Genomic DNA, 14,284 nt, shown 5'->3' with positions numbered 1-14,284 from the left:
GTTATTTATATTTTATAATCTGATAAAGTTATTCATGTGAATTAATCCTGGGGAAATAATTACATAAATTTAGAAAAATGCCCCGTAAGGATATTCATCACAATATTATTTGTTATTGCAAAACAATTAGAAACAACCCAAGTTATATCAGTGGAGTTTTGATTAAATAAATTATAGTTTATATGTTTAATGATATACTGTGTCATCATTAAAAGAGATAAAGCAGAATTTTAGTCTTTATCATGTAAAAGATTATATTGTATAACATGTAGGGAAAATCATAAAGCAGATCACAGAACAGTATGTTTCTACAGATGTGAAGTAGGCATATCATATATATAGGAAATCTTTGGAGGATTAAACACCAAGTTCTTTTTTTTTTTTTTTTTCTTTTTTTGAGATGGCATTTCGCTCTTGTTGCCCAGGCTGGAGTGTAGGCGGGAGTGCAGTGGCGCTATCTCAGCTCACTGCAACTTCTGCCTTCTGGGTTCAAGCGATTCTCCTGCCTCAGCCTCCCAACTAGCTGGGATTACAGGTGCCCGCCATCATGCCCGGCTAATTTTTGTATTTTTAGTAGAGATGGGGTTTCACCATGTTGGCCAGCATGGTCTCGAACTCCTGACCTCAGGTGATCTACCTGCCTTGGCCTCCCAAAGCACTGGGATGACAGGCGTGAGCCACCATGCCTGGTCATCAAATTCTTAAGAGGAGTTAACTCTGATGAGGTTTTTGGCGAGGTGAAGGAATAATTGGATTTTTATTTCCCATTTGAAAGAATAATATTTTCTGAATGTTTCCACTATCAGGTATAATATTTCTGAAACATTTAAAAATAGGTATATTTATATTTGAGAGCACAAAGAGAGAAACTCCCAAGGAAGTACATCTTTCTCACTTGTTCAGGAAACCCCTCAGTGTTGGAGGACAGGTGGAACACAGGAAAGGAGGTGGCAATGCCACACAGGAGGCAGTGCCAGGGCCTGGGATCTTTGGGGGTCATAGACAAGCGTTAGATGCTCACGGCGTAGATGGAGTGGTGGAAATGGTGGTGGTAATGCTCTCAAAATGTTTGTGATGTGTTCAGACCCAGGGAAGAGCTCATTCAGACTATTATGATCAGAGGTCATTAAATGTGAGGAACCGTGGATAGAAAATCTTGTCCCAGTCCCTTATGGTACAGGTGGACACAAGCCCAACCATGGTAAGGAACTTTCTAAGATCACAGAGCAGTGGATGAGTAGGAATGATGTGATTACAACCCGTGTCCGTGATTTTCATTCACAAGAACTTTGCCCTTAAGGGAAGCTCAAGTTCTTTAACGTTAAAGTGTCTGGACACCCAAGAGCATCAGGTAAGAGACATACTTCTCTCTTCCCATTCTCTCATTGCATCATTTCCTTCATTACTTCCATCCTTCCTTCTTACCACTTTTGCTCATCACCCTGTCCCATCCCTCTCGATATGCTCATTTCATCTTCATTGCTCCGCTCCAATCCGTTCCTACCTCCCACTCTCACATCTTGTCTTCACAACCTTATCTCAGCCCATCCTTCCAGTCAACCCCAAGAGGAAATCACAGAGAAGCCAAGGTTCAGGTGCACCCATGGACAGTTTTAGGGATGAACAGCAGAGGGACAGTAGTGTTGCTAGGACGCAGTAAACAGTCTTCCTAGAGGGGCTGGAGAGAATCAGGAATTAATGGGCTGAAACCTGGATAGACATCAAGATGAGGAAATGCTCTGGGTTGCAGCAGTATTGATGTATTAATCAAATAAAGTTAAAGTTAGAAGGAGGTGTCACTCCCAGGGACTGCATTTATGGGTGTGTATTTTCAGGCTAGAAGGTTTGGGATAGAAAAGTAAGACTTTGGAGGAGAATGTTGTATTGGGTATTCTACAATAAAATTCTGAGGACCTAGTTGGAACATAAACGCTTACTGTTTCAAAAAGTATCATATGTGTCAGGAAGATGATTTATCAAATAAGACAGAAAGATACCGCAGGGGATGGAAATAGGACATTCCCTTTTTGATCTTAAGGTATATCACTTATGTATTAACATAGTTTTTATTTAGTAGCTCTTTCCTTCTCTAGACCCCACCTGTTGCCTGATCGTCCTATGGGATTCCCGTGTGGTATTAAAGCGAGGGAACTGATTTTATGGGAGGTGAAAGGTGAACAGTAGCATGAAATGATTCCTGGCACTGGGCCCACGGTTCAAAATACCTTTCCACACTCTGATCTGGAGGGAGTCTCACATCCCTCTGGAAGGAAACTTTGCAGTGATATTCTTGGTTACCTAGGCTGGGATGAAGTGGCCCTTTCCTGTAGGACATTGCTGCTCAGGCATAAAGTGCTGCCAAGATTTCAGCTCTACCGAGAAAGCGGGCACAGCCCAAAGCAAGGTACCAACTTGCCCAGGAGGCCTGGTTGGCAGAAGCTCACTTCATGTCTTCCTGTCTTACCAGCTTTTTTCTATAGAGTGTATCACCATGTGGTATACTATATATGATGCTTATTTATTTATTTAGCCTACCTTTATAGCATGTGATTTGCTTGAGTGCAGAGACTTTTGTCCATTTTGCTCACCAATGCCCTAGAAGATTGTTTGGATCATAGAAGTAATTTAATAAATATTTGTTGAATGAATAAATGAATGAATTATATAGGGTTTCCTTGTAGGCCAAACACATAACACCACTCCTCAGGCATCAGGAGATAGAAATAATGGTTATAAACAAGGTTTGTTGGTTACTATCTTCTCGGGAAATTTTCCTCGGTCCAGAAAAGGCAGGAAAGGAGGTCATCTCTCAGGTCAGTGATCGCTTCCCCACAAGTAGCTGACACAGAGCGCCCTGAACATCAGTATTTCTGAGGCTGTAGATAAGTGGGTTCAGCATGGGGTTGATCACAGTCATGAAAACCCCAACCCCCTTATCCTTGTCTGAAGATTCCACTGAACCCAGCCTCATGTAGCTGAAGACACCTGTCCCATAGAAGATGCCCACCACAGTGAGGTGGGAGCCACATGTGGAGAAGGCCTTCTTTCTGCCCTCAGCAGAGCGGATTTGCAGCACAGCAGCTACCACATGGGCATAGGACACACTGATGAAGACCAAGGGTGCCACAGCCATGAAGGCTGCTGCTACAAAGAGCAGCAGCTCATTGAGTTGGGTGCTGGAGCAGGAGAGCTGGAAGAGCTGTGGGAGGTCACAGTAGAAGTGATTGACCTCATTGGGGCCACAGAAGTTGAGCGTGGACATGGCCACAGTGTGGGTCAGTGCGTTGGTGAAGGCACAAGCCCAGGACGCAGCCACCAACATCCTCTGGACTGTCTGACTCATGCGGGTGCTGTAGGTGAGGGGCTGGCAGATGGCCAGGAGTCGGTCATAGGCCATGGCGGTCAGCAGGAAGCAGTCCATCCCAGCCAGAAGGTGGAAGAAGAAGAGCTGGGAGAGGCAGGCGTCATAGGAAATTGTGGACTTGTGGGACAAGAGACGACCCAACATTGCAGGAACAGTGACAGTGATACATCCGACATCCAGCACTGACAGGTTCCCCAGGAAGAAGTACATGGGGGCGTGGAGTTTGGGCTCCACCAAGACGGCTGCCAGGATGCTGAGGTTGCCCCCAGTTGTGACCAGATAGGCAAAGAGGAGGAGCACAAAGACAACTGGCTGCATCTCTTCTGTTTGCACTAGGCCCAGTAGAATGAACTCAGCAACAGCGGTCCTATTGGTCCCAGCTTCTGGCTCCATGAGTTTCTGTAAGGACATGTCCCAGCAGGGGAGGTATCAGTTCACTCAGTTCACATTAACATTTTAAACCATTTATGTTCAAAGCCCCGTGGCGAGTCCCCAGGCCATCCCTCACTCCTCCAACACCTCAATGCCTTTACCTTGCTCTTGGTTGAGATGCCGAATGCCACCACCACCTTGTCCCTCTCATCCTCTGCTAGCTGAAAAGGTCAGAATACTTGGGAAAATAAGCTAAGATAAAAGATCTAATTTATAACATGAGGATTATAGTTAATAAAGTGTATTGTATTCAAGATTTTTGCTAAATGAGTAGATTATAGTTGCTCTTGCCGGAAGGGGGAAAATGGGTAACTGTGTGAGATGATGGATATGTTAATTTGTTTCACTATACTAATCATTTTACTGTCTACGTGTATCTCGTAACTTCATGTGGTGAACCTTAAATATACGCAATAAAATTTGTTAAAAAAAAGGCAAAAGACTTCCTTTTTGAATATAGTGAGATTAAGATAGAATTTTCCCCGGGCGCAGTGGCTCATGCCTGTAATCCCAGCACTTTGGGAGGCCAAGGCAGGCGGATCACGAGGTCAGGAGATTGAGACCATCCTGGCTAACACAGCGAAACCCCGTCTCTACTAAAAATACAAAAAAAATCAGCCGGGCTTGGTGGCAGGCGCCTGTAGTCCCAGCTACTCGGGAGGCTGAGGCAGGAGAATGGCGTGAACCTGGGAGGCTGAGGCGGGAGAATGGTGTGAACCCAGGAGGTGGAGCTTGCAGTGAGCCGAGATCGCGCCACTGCACTCCAGCCTGGGCGACAGAGTGAGACTCCGTCTCAAAAAAAAAAAAAAAAAAAAAAGATAGAATTTTCCCATTTTTCTCTGAGGGATCAACCCAAACTAATAAGCAGATTACATTTTAATAATTTATTTTTAATTGATGAATAATAATTGTGTATATTTATGGGGTACAGTGTGATATTGATTGGCATATGCTTTGTAAAATGATTAAATCAAGGTAATTAACATAGCCATCCCTTCAACAACTCATTTTTGTGGTGAGAATGTTAAAATATATCCTTTTATACAAACTGGATGACATTATGCTAAGTGAAATAAACTAGACACAGAAAGATAAATATTTGACAATTTCACTTACATGTGGAATCTAAAAAGTCAATGTCATAGAATCAGAGACCAATAAGCAGACTTCAAAATAGAAAAATTCATGAGAGTTTCAGAGAAACTAGAAAATATTGAAACTGTTGCCTAGGTTTCAAGGCTTCTGGAAATAGTGAAGATCAAGTGAAGGTATGCCAGGAATCAGAGAGAAGATACTCATGATTCTGAATGTCAGAAAGACCAGCCCAGCACATTTCTTCAAAGAGAGGGACCACACTATGAAGTGTCAATTCAACACTCCTTGTTCAATTAATTGCTAGTGTTATTATTGTTACTTAAATCCTTACACTGGACTTTGACTAACAAGTTAATTTAAAATTATTTTTTCTGTGTACATTGTCAGCTACTCCCCTCTAAAACCAAAGTTGTAATCATGTCCTGTGGGTTGGTTGCTGCCAGGTGCAGTTAGGGTTCTACATTGCACAGACACTGGTCTTCTACTTGTCCTTCATTCAGGCATGGTAGATTGACCAATGACTCTAAGGCTATGTCTTCAAATGAAGAAGGCATGTACTTGGAAAGCCATACTGAATTATGTCAAACTCTGAATCAAAAAAATATCAATGTCTTTATTGACTAGAGACAAGTAGGGCTTGAGCTTCCTTAAGAGCAATATCATACCCTTGTATCTGAAATCAGAAGATGGGAAGGGGTTGGAGTCTGATAACTCTAACAGAAAGGGAAGCATGATGATTGCCTGAACTGGGGCAGTGAAATTCAGGGCCAGGAGCGGTTAAGAAAATCATATCTCAGAAATCAGAGTGCTGTAGTAGTATGGTTGATGTGACTGCTTTGGGGGATGGTCACCAAAATATTCTTTAAAATCCTTTGTTTATAAAAGTGGAAATGGTTGGTGGCATGGTCTTCTTTGGTCTCAGTTTGGATCTGAGAAGCAGAGGAGACAGGACTGAATGAGAAGCCACCCAGGCAAGCTGATTGTGTAGTGTTTAGGTGAGACTGTAAAAGCAAGAAAACTGCCTTGTCAGCAGTTCCTCAGCTGTGTGTCAGCATTGACATTAGAGAAGTCAAGGCAAAAGGTACTCAAAAACAACCGTGAATCAAGACATGCACCTGTCCCCAGCAAAAACCTCTCATGAAAAACTGGCTGAGAAACCTTTCGATTCATTTAGACTTCAAAAGGGAACCAGCACAAGGTCTAGTTAAAGATACTCAAGAAAAAAATGGGGAGGGTAGAGGAGAGAAACTAGGACAAACAAATGCTAGACTACAAACACTCAGAAGAAAAATTGTGGCATAGAGCTACTGAATAACTGAAAAACAAAAAACAAGTGTGAACTTAAAACATGTAATAAACCATTCACCTCTATGTGACAAGAACACAAGACAGAGATACAAGACCTCAGGGAAGAGTTTCAAGATACCAGATGGAAGTGAAATGTGAGATAACAGAACTCAGGTAAAAAATGAGCATGGAGGAACAAACAATTAGACAAAATAAAACTTTCCAGAAATAACTGAAGACCGGCTTCTAGAGACTGAAAAGTCACAACATGTACCAGGAGACAGAAACAGGTCCCATTCTGAGATAGTCCTAGTAAGGTCATTGTAATTAAAAAATAATGAATCCTTTGGGTATATTGGCAGAAATCAAGTCACTTACAATAGAATGAGAAGATGCTTATCTTAAATTTCTCTACAGAAGTATTCAAGACTAGAAGAAAATAGAAAACTTCCTATAAAATCTTCATAGAAGGAAAATGTAACCAAAGAATTTTCTATTAAGACAAACTGTAACTCAAATATACAAGCAACAGCCTAAAGTTTTTGGACACTCAAAAACTCAAGAATAGTTGTTCTATGAGCCCCATAGAATAAACTTCTAGAGGATAAACTTCAGCCAACAAAGAGAAGAGGAAGGAAAAAGAAAACAAAATAACTGGTAATAAGCACTGAATTTTTTTTACTGTAAGACGTATATGGGGATTGTGGTTTCAGAATAAAATATAAATGTTTGAACAATGACACTGTAGAAATCTAATAAAGTTAAGAGGAGAAGAAAGAACATGTAGAGATGGTGTAGGTATGCTGACTTCCTTAGTTGTCTTACAATTGTAAGTCAAAAGATATGTTCATGTTAATCAGCAAAAATGTTGAAATGAAAAGGCTTAACCCAATCATGAATTTAGAATAAGAAAACAAAAGAAATTTAAGAAAATCTAAAGGAATTCCATAGTAAAAAATTAGAAAATAGACAAACAAAAGAATGAATACAAATTGAGAACAGGTTGTTTGTGGTAAAATGAAATTGACAAACCTTAACTAAGTGATCTAATCGTGAGTAAAAGCAAAAAAGTATAAGCATGCAAAATAATAATTGACAGGGAGAAAATAAACATAGCCCAATAGAAAATTGAAAAATTCTAGTAGAGAATAGAATGGTGGTGATTGGAGGCTGGGAAGGGTGAGGGGAAGGAGTGATAAAGATAAATTGGTTAATGGGTACAAAAATACAGTTAAATAAAAGGAACAAGTTCTAGAATTTGATAGAGTATGGAGACTATAGTTAACAATAATTTATTGTATATTTCAAAATAGCCAGAAGAATTGGAATGTCCCCAACACAAAGACAAATGTTTGAGGTGATGGATATCCAAATTACCCTGATTTGATCCTTACACATTGTTTTATATATATATACACACATCACAGTGTACTCCCTAAATATATACAACTATTATATTTCAATAAAAATTATAAAATTCTATTTTTCTGAACTCCAAGTTATAAAAGTTTTCTATGAAGTTATGATTTATTAAAATAATTCTAGAACAGTTAGAAAATCTAAACAGACTACTATAGAAAAAGTAGAGAAAGAGCTAGCTTCCAATTGCCACTAATGAAAAGCAACATCTCCGTAAAATGCCACAGGGAAGTTTGTAATGACGATCAAACTATTCAAGAATATAAAAGAAGAAAGCTTCCATTTTTTTTTTGCGAAGTGTGCATAACTAGCTCAAAAGAAAAGAAAAAAATTTATGTTAAAGTAAAGAAAATATGAAATCATAAAAGATTAACAAATTTATTTCAGTAATTTTACCAAAATAATTAACCATAAGTATTTGGGATTTGGTCAGGAATGCCAGGTTAGTTCAAAATGAGAAAATGTATTAATATGTTTTATGATATTAACAGATGTAAAGGGAGATTATGTGATCCTTTCCATAGATGCTAAAAAGGCATTTGATTATATTAAATGTTCATTTTGATTTCTGAAATCTTATAATAAAATAGGAATAGTTAGGTACTTACCTAACATGTTAAAATAAAACTAAGTAGGCCAGGTGCAGTGGCTCACATCTGTAATCCCAGCACGTTGGGAGGCTGAGGCAGGTGGATCACTTGAGCTCAAGAGTTTGACAACAGCCTGGCCAGCATGGTGAAACCCCATCTCTATCAAAAATACAAAAATTAGCCAGGCGTGATGGTGCTCGCCTGTAATCCCAGCTACTTGGTATGCGGCTGAAACATGAGAATTGCTTAAACCTAGGAGGTGGAGGTTGTAGTGAGCCAAGATCGTGCCCCTTCACTCCAGCCTGGGTCTCAAATAATAATAATAATAATAATAATAATAATAATAATAATAATAATTTAAAAATAAGTAAATAAAAAATAAAATAAAACGAACTAAACTCCAAAGACAGCATCATGTTTAATAGAAAAACATTAAAAGCATTCTCAGTCAAGTCACTAATGAGACAAGTAAATTCATTATCAATTATTATTTAACATTGTTCTGAAAGCTTTAGCCAATGCAAGAAATTAAAAGACCATATATTAGAAAGCAATAAAACAGTTGTTGGTTTTTCTTTTCTTTTTTTTTTTTTTGAGTTGGAGTTTCGCTTTTGTCACCCAGGCTGGAGTGCAGTGGCATGATCTTGGCTCACTGCAACCTCCACCTCCCAGGTTCAAGCAATTCTCCTGCCTCATCCTCCCGAGTAGCTGGGACTACAGGCACCCGCCACCACGTCTGGCTAATTTTTGTATTTTTAGTAGAGATAGGGTTTCACCATGTTGACCAGGCTGGTCTCGAACTCCTGACCTCATGTGATCCGCCCGCCTCGGCCTCCCAAAGTGCTGGGATTACACGTGTGAGCCACCGAGCCCAGCTGGAAAACTCTTAAAAATATGAAAGTATAGGAAAATTTCAAGATAAAAAGTAAATATAAAAATAATATACGATAATATGTTGTTTTCTTATATATACCATAATAAACTAGAAAAAATAATTGTAAAAAATTCACATTAACAGAAATGACTTTAAAATCAAGCAAATTCTTGTGGTAAGATATTCAGTAAGTAAAAGGAAAGACAAAACTGTATACTTAAAATATGATCTCACTGTTACCACATACACATATAATAAACAGAAGGAAACTCTGAGCTATTGCAGTGGTTTTCAAAGAGTGGTAGTAATATAATGGGTTTTAGTGTTTTTCATTGGAGATTTTAAATGTTAACATATTACCTATATTATTTTTTTAATGATTATTAATATACTTTTTATGAATGATCGAATTATTCCCACCCTCTCAGTGGCTACGACTTGTAAATTTCAAAGTCCCTTGCCTTGCACGCTGCGGTAGTTGCTATCCACAGAAGAGCCTTGGGTGGGTTCTGGGAGTAGACAGCAGCTCTCCCAGGCTATTTTACTTCCTGTCAACCAAATTCCATTTCTGGTGATGAGCTATCTCCTGGCTTGCCAGTAAATGCCTTTTCTCTGACATCCTGAGGTGATTTGGGTCTTTTCTCCAGTTACCAAGAATGTGTCCAGTGGTCTCTGATCGCATTGCTGCTCCAATTGTCAAAGCACTATCAGATGGGTTTTGTGACTCTTAAAATCCTGAGATCGTTTCGGAGAATTCACACTACCTTCCTGCATCGTGTTTTTCTTTCTTTGTAAAGATGTTAGGAAATCCACCGGGCATTCATTCCTCGCTGATGCTCTATGAAAATGTACTGCAGTGAGTCTCAACCTCAGCTGCACAGTAGAAATATGTGGAGCTTCAAAAAAATCCTGGCCGGCCATGGTGGCTCACGCCTGTCATCCCAGCACTGTGGGAGGCCGAGGTGGGCGGATCATGAGGTCAGGAGATCGAGACCATCCTGGTTAACATGGTGAAACCCCGTCTCTACTGAAAATACAAAAAATTAGTCCGGTGCGGTGGCGGGCACCTGTAGTCCCAGCTACTCGGGTGGCTGAGGCAGGAGAATCGCTTGAACCCGGGAGGTGGAGGTTGCAGTGAGCTGAAATTGCGCCACTGCACTCCAGCCTGGGCGACTCCGTCTGAGACTCTGTCTCAAAAAAAAGAGTCAAGGTAGTCTCTAAAGACTGACCCGCAGTTTCATGTGGATAACGTGCATCTCACTGGAGTCTCTACAGCAAGAGGATGTCTCCAATGTGAGGCTGTCTCGATGACCAGCCTTCCAAATGAGGTCTCCACTGTGTGTGCTCAGGCCACGGGGAAGCTGCAGAGGGGATGCCACATGGATGAGAATGTGGATGCGGTAATCTCTAAGAGGTCCTTAAAGTTTTTTTTTTTTGTTTTTTGTTTTTTTGTTTTTTTTTGAGATGGAGTCTTGCTCTATCACCAGGCTGGAGTGCAGTGGCATGATTTTGATGATCTTGGCTCACTGCAACCTCCACCTCCCAGGTTCAAGTGATTCTCCTGCCTCAGCCTCCCGAGCAGCTGGGACTACAGGTGCCTGCCACCACGCCCGGCTAATTTTTGTATTTTTAGTAGAGACAGGGTTTCACCATGTTGACCAGGTTGGTCTCGAACAACTGACCTCATGATCCGCCCACCTCGGCCTCCCAAAGTGCTGGGATTACAGGCGTGAGCCACCGCATCCATCCAGGTCCTTAAAATTCTAAGATCACATGACTTGGGAGTGGGAAGAAATCATCTTCTGGTATGATTATCTTGATGAAATTGGTAATTGTAAATGCTTTGCAAATTGGCAAATCAGTGGGTAGGTAACAGCTCTGTACATATGTTCTTTTGAAGAAGATATTTTTGCGATAGTTTTCCTCCAAGTCCACTTCCCAAATATTTCAAGACTTGACGCCAGTTGCTGGCTGCTGAACTCATCTTTCCGTGAAACTTTCCCATCTCAAAAGGATCACTCTCCCTCTCACTCCTGCCTGTCTCTCTGTTTCTCTCTTTCCCTGTCTTTGCCTCCCTCCTGCTGCTTCTCTCCTAAACTCCCACACATATTATTTCATGCAACTTACTATGCTTTACCTTCCAGTTCAGTCATTGCTCTATAGAACATATCTTTCTTACATCTCTGTAAGTAATTCGAGGACAAAACATGTTTGATTCAGTCTTTTCAATAGCAGTAACCATCATAATACTTCAATATTTGTGAAACGAATTATCAATTGTTCTAACGTTCGTACAATTTCAGAGAAAGAGAGCATCAGTATAAGCTAGAGTTGTCATGGAAGACTTTCCGGACACATTAATATTTGGGCTAGACTTTCCTGGCTTAGTGTGCTTTAGGGGAGGTACAGGTTAAATGCAGGGTGCAAGGTTGTGGCAGGGACTCCTTTGTGTTAACAGGACAAGCAGGTCATGGACCAGTCCACATGCTTCTTTTTACTTAAACCTCCCAAAACAATACGGCCCTTAGGAGGGGCCACACCTTACAGACAAGTAAGTCATGGTCAGGGGTAGAAGAACCACTAAACAGCTGTTGCCAACCCTCAGACAGCTAGAGATACAATTGCTTAAAACCAGGGGGATTCTGGGATGACCTCAGGTCACCCTGAGACACCCAGAGGGTCTGACAGGGTCCCCACGAGGCCCACTGGGGAGCCCTCCTGCACGACCACTCTCGAGGCTCCCCTTACGAGCTGTGACAGCTCCCTGCTCTGGAACTCCAGCCCATCCCTCACGCGCCCAACATGACGAGGCTCAAGGACTTCGCTGGAGCGAGGGTTCCCCGCTGCCTGATGCAGTGGGTGCGGGCAGTGAACTGGTCTGAGCGAGTCTCCTCACACTCATGCTAACAGGCAGCAGGCTTCATCTGAGAGAGGCGAGCACGGGGAAAACCACAAAAGAACCCAGGACCTCCGGGCTGTAGTGCCAGGTCTTCCCCTAAATGGCTTTCCCTGTCAGGGGCATCCATCGCACCAGGCTTACTAAGCTGATGGCAACAGAAGCCCCTTCTCTATTCTGTAGGAGCAGAGGAAGGACTCAGGAGAACACTCACCCTGGCAAGGGCACGGAAGCCACTGAGGTTTCCTCAGGAAAGAAGGGGAGGAGCTGCACACACCCCGTTATCCTCCCGGAGAGCGAGTGAGGGGCTAATGACTGAGAAATGAGAGGAATCAAGCTGCTGTCTTCTCTGTACAGGGCTGTGTTCACTACAGCATTCTCCTCTGGGGCACTCAGAAACTGGCTCTCCTAGGAGAGAGAAGGATGGGGGGAGAGACACGGAAAAGGAGACACCTCAGGCCCTTCATACTCATGGCAACGATGCCTCACACCTTCTGGTATTTAGACTTTCTCACAAGGAAGGCTTTGCCTCTAGCCCTGGCTTTGTGGGCAGGTTGTTACGGCAGATGATGTCGGCTCTGCTTAATGTGGGTCACTGAGGCCTACAGGACTTGCCTATGTCCTCAAAGTCCCCCAGGAAGGGAGAGGTGCAGCTGGAGACTCTATATGGGCTTTCTAAGGAGACATTTTCTTTTCTTTTCTTTTTTCTTTGAGACGGAGTCTCGCTCTGTCGCCCAGGCTGGAGTGCAGTGGTGCGATCTCGGTTCACTGCAAGGTTCACGCCATTCTCCCAGGTTCACACCATTCTCCTGCCTCAGCCTCCCGAGTAGCTGGGACTACAGGCATCTGCCTCCACACCCAGCTAATTTTTTGTATTTTTTTAGTAGAGACGGGGTTTTACCATGTTAGCCAGGATGGTCTCAGTCTCCTGACCTCATGATCCGCCTGCCTCTTCTTTCTCAGATATCAACCAGGGCATTTGAGCAGAGACAAGCAAATTCCTGAACTTGTCTTGGACCTGGGGAGGGAGGAGGAGGAGGCCCCAGAAGGGATATAAGAGGGGAAAGTGTTCTTCAAAGCTGGTTTCCTGTTGAGCCCTCAGTAGTGAGGCGCTTTCTCTCTTGGGGCCTTGTTAGTGGGGGCCACTGGGACTGTGTCTTGGGGATCCTATAATGATTCTGGAGGTGCTGGGAGATGAGCCCTGTGATGCTAGCAGGACTACTGGGAAGGTGCCTATCAACATGATTTTCTAAGTCCGGCCCTGAGGAATTGAGAGGCCTGGTGAAGGTGGCAGGTTAATGAACAGAAGCTGTGGGAAGGTGTAGAAGTGTGTTCCTCTGACTCCTCTTCCCACTAACATTCCCTCGCCTAAGAGAGAGGGCTCCTTCTTCTCCCACCAGGGAGTTGTGGTGCAGTAGAAAAAGCAGAATAGACAAACCTGTTCTTCTGATTATTAGTGGTTTGACTCTGAACAAGCTGCAAAGTCAGTTTTTGAGCCTCAGTTTCCTCATCTGTAAAATGAGCATATTCTCCCCTACAGAGCACTGCTGTCTGAACATTAAACGAAGTAGGATTCATTAAGCTGCTAACAGAAGTTCAACAATTCATCTACATACAAACTGAGAACATTTGTGAGTGTTTGTTATTTACATGGTAATTTGCTAAGAACCGTACAAGCCTGGAGGGTCTATCAGTCTTCCTAACACTTCTGCAAAGTAGATTGTAGCAGACAGATCAGATGTTCTGCTTCACATCTGGAGAACAAAGGAGACAAGATGCTTGTCTTCTGATTTCAGCCATGGTTGCAGGGGATAGTTCCTTGCAGGCTTCCATTGCAAGCTGACAGTGAAGCCTCTTCCCTGGGATCCTCTGATGCCACAAACAGTGGGGGAGCTTACTCTGTCTCAGCACATGTGGAGCTCAGAAGTGCAGAGGGCAACTTGACAATGGGGAATGGAGCCAGGGGATAAATATCCCAGGAGCCAGGCGCAGTGGCTCACGCCTATGATCCCAGCACTTTGGGAGGCCGAGGCGGGCAGATCACCCGAGGTTGGGAGTTCGAGACCAGCCTGACCAACATGGAGAAACCCCCTCTTTACTAAAAATACGAAATTAGCCAGGCGTGGTGGCACATGGCTGTAATCCCAGCTACTTGGGAGGCTGAGGCAGGAGAATCGCTTGAACCCAGGAGGCAGAGGTTGCAGTGAGCCAAGATCACACCACTGCACTCCAGCCTGGGGAACAAGAGCGAAATTCCGTCTCAAAAAAAAAGTCCCCTCAGCCCCCATCTTTACACAATTCTGGGAGACATTGTGTATGCTCTGGGT

The 14,284-nt window shown here is 42.7% G+C and overlaps 1 protein-coding gene across 2 annotated transcripts; it reads right to left on the bottom strand.

Moving 5' to 3' along the window:
* Nucleotides 1-272: 272 nt before the first annotated feature.
* Nucleotides 273-12,973, bottom strand: OR3A3 (olfactory receptor family 3 subfamily A member 3). Of its 2 annotated transcripts, NM_012373.3 has the most exons (3): nucleotides 12,859-12,973; nucleotides 12,172-12,365; nucleotides 273-3,763 (listed from the first exon to the last, which is right to left on the bottom strand). In NM_012373.3, the coding sequence occupies exon 3, from the start codon at nucleotides 3,755-3,757 to the stop codon at nucleotides 2,810-2,812; it is 948 nt and encodes a 315-aa protein (NP_036505.3). In that variant the 5' UTR covers nucleotides 3,758-3,763; nucleotides 12,172-12,365; nucleotides 12,859-12,973; the 3' UTR covers nucleotides 273-2,809. The 2 variants fall into 2 exon arrangements, with proteins under 2 accessions (NP_036505.3, NP_001373027.1); NM_001386098.1 differs by lacking the exons at nucleotides 12,172-12,365; nucleotides 12,859-12,973 and adding an exon at nucleotides 3,898-3,919.
* Nucleotides 12,974-14,284: the final 1,311 nt, after the last annotated feature.

The sequence above is a fragment of the Homo sapiens genome, chromosome 17 (genome assembly GCF_000001405.40).
Source record: "Homo sapiens chromosome 17, GRCh38.p14 Primary Assembly".
NCBI classification, from domain to species: domain Eukaryota; kingdom Metazoa; phylum Chordata; class Mammalia; order Primates; family Hominidae; genus Homo; species Homo sapiens.
The sequence above is the reverse complement of the archived record's forward strand: the minus strand, read 5'-3'. Positions and strand labels throughout refer to the sequence as shown.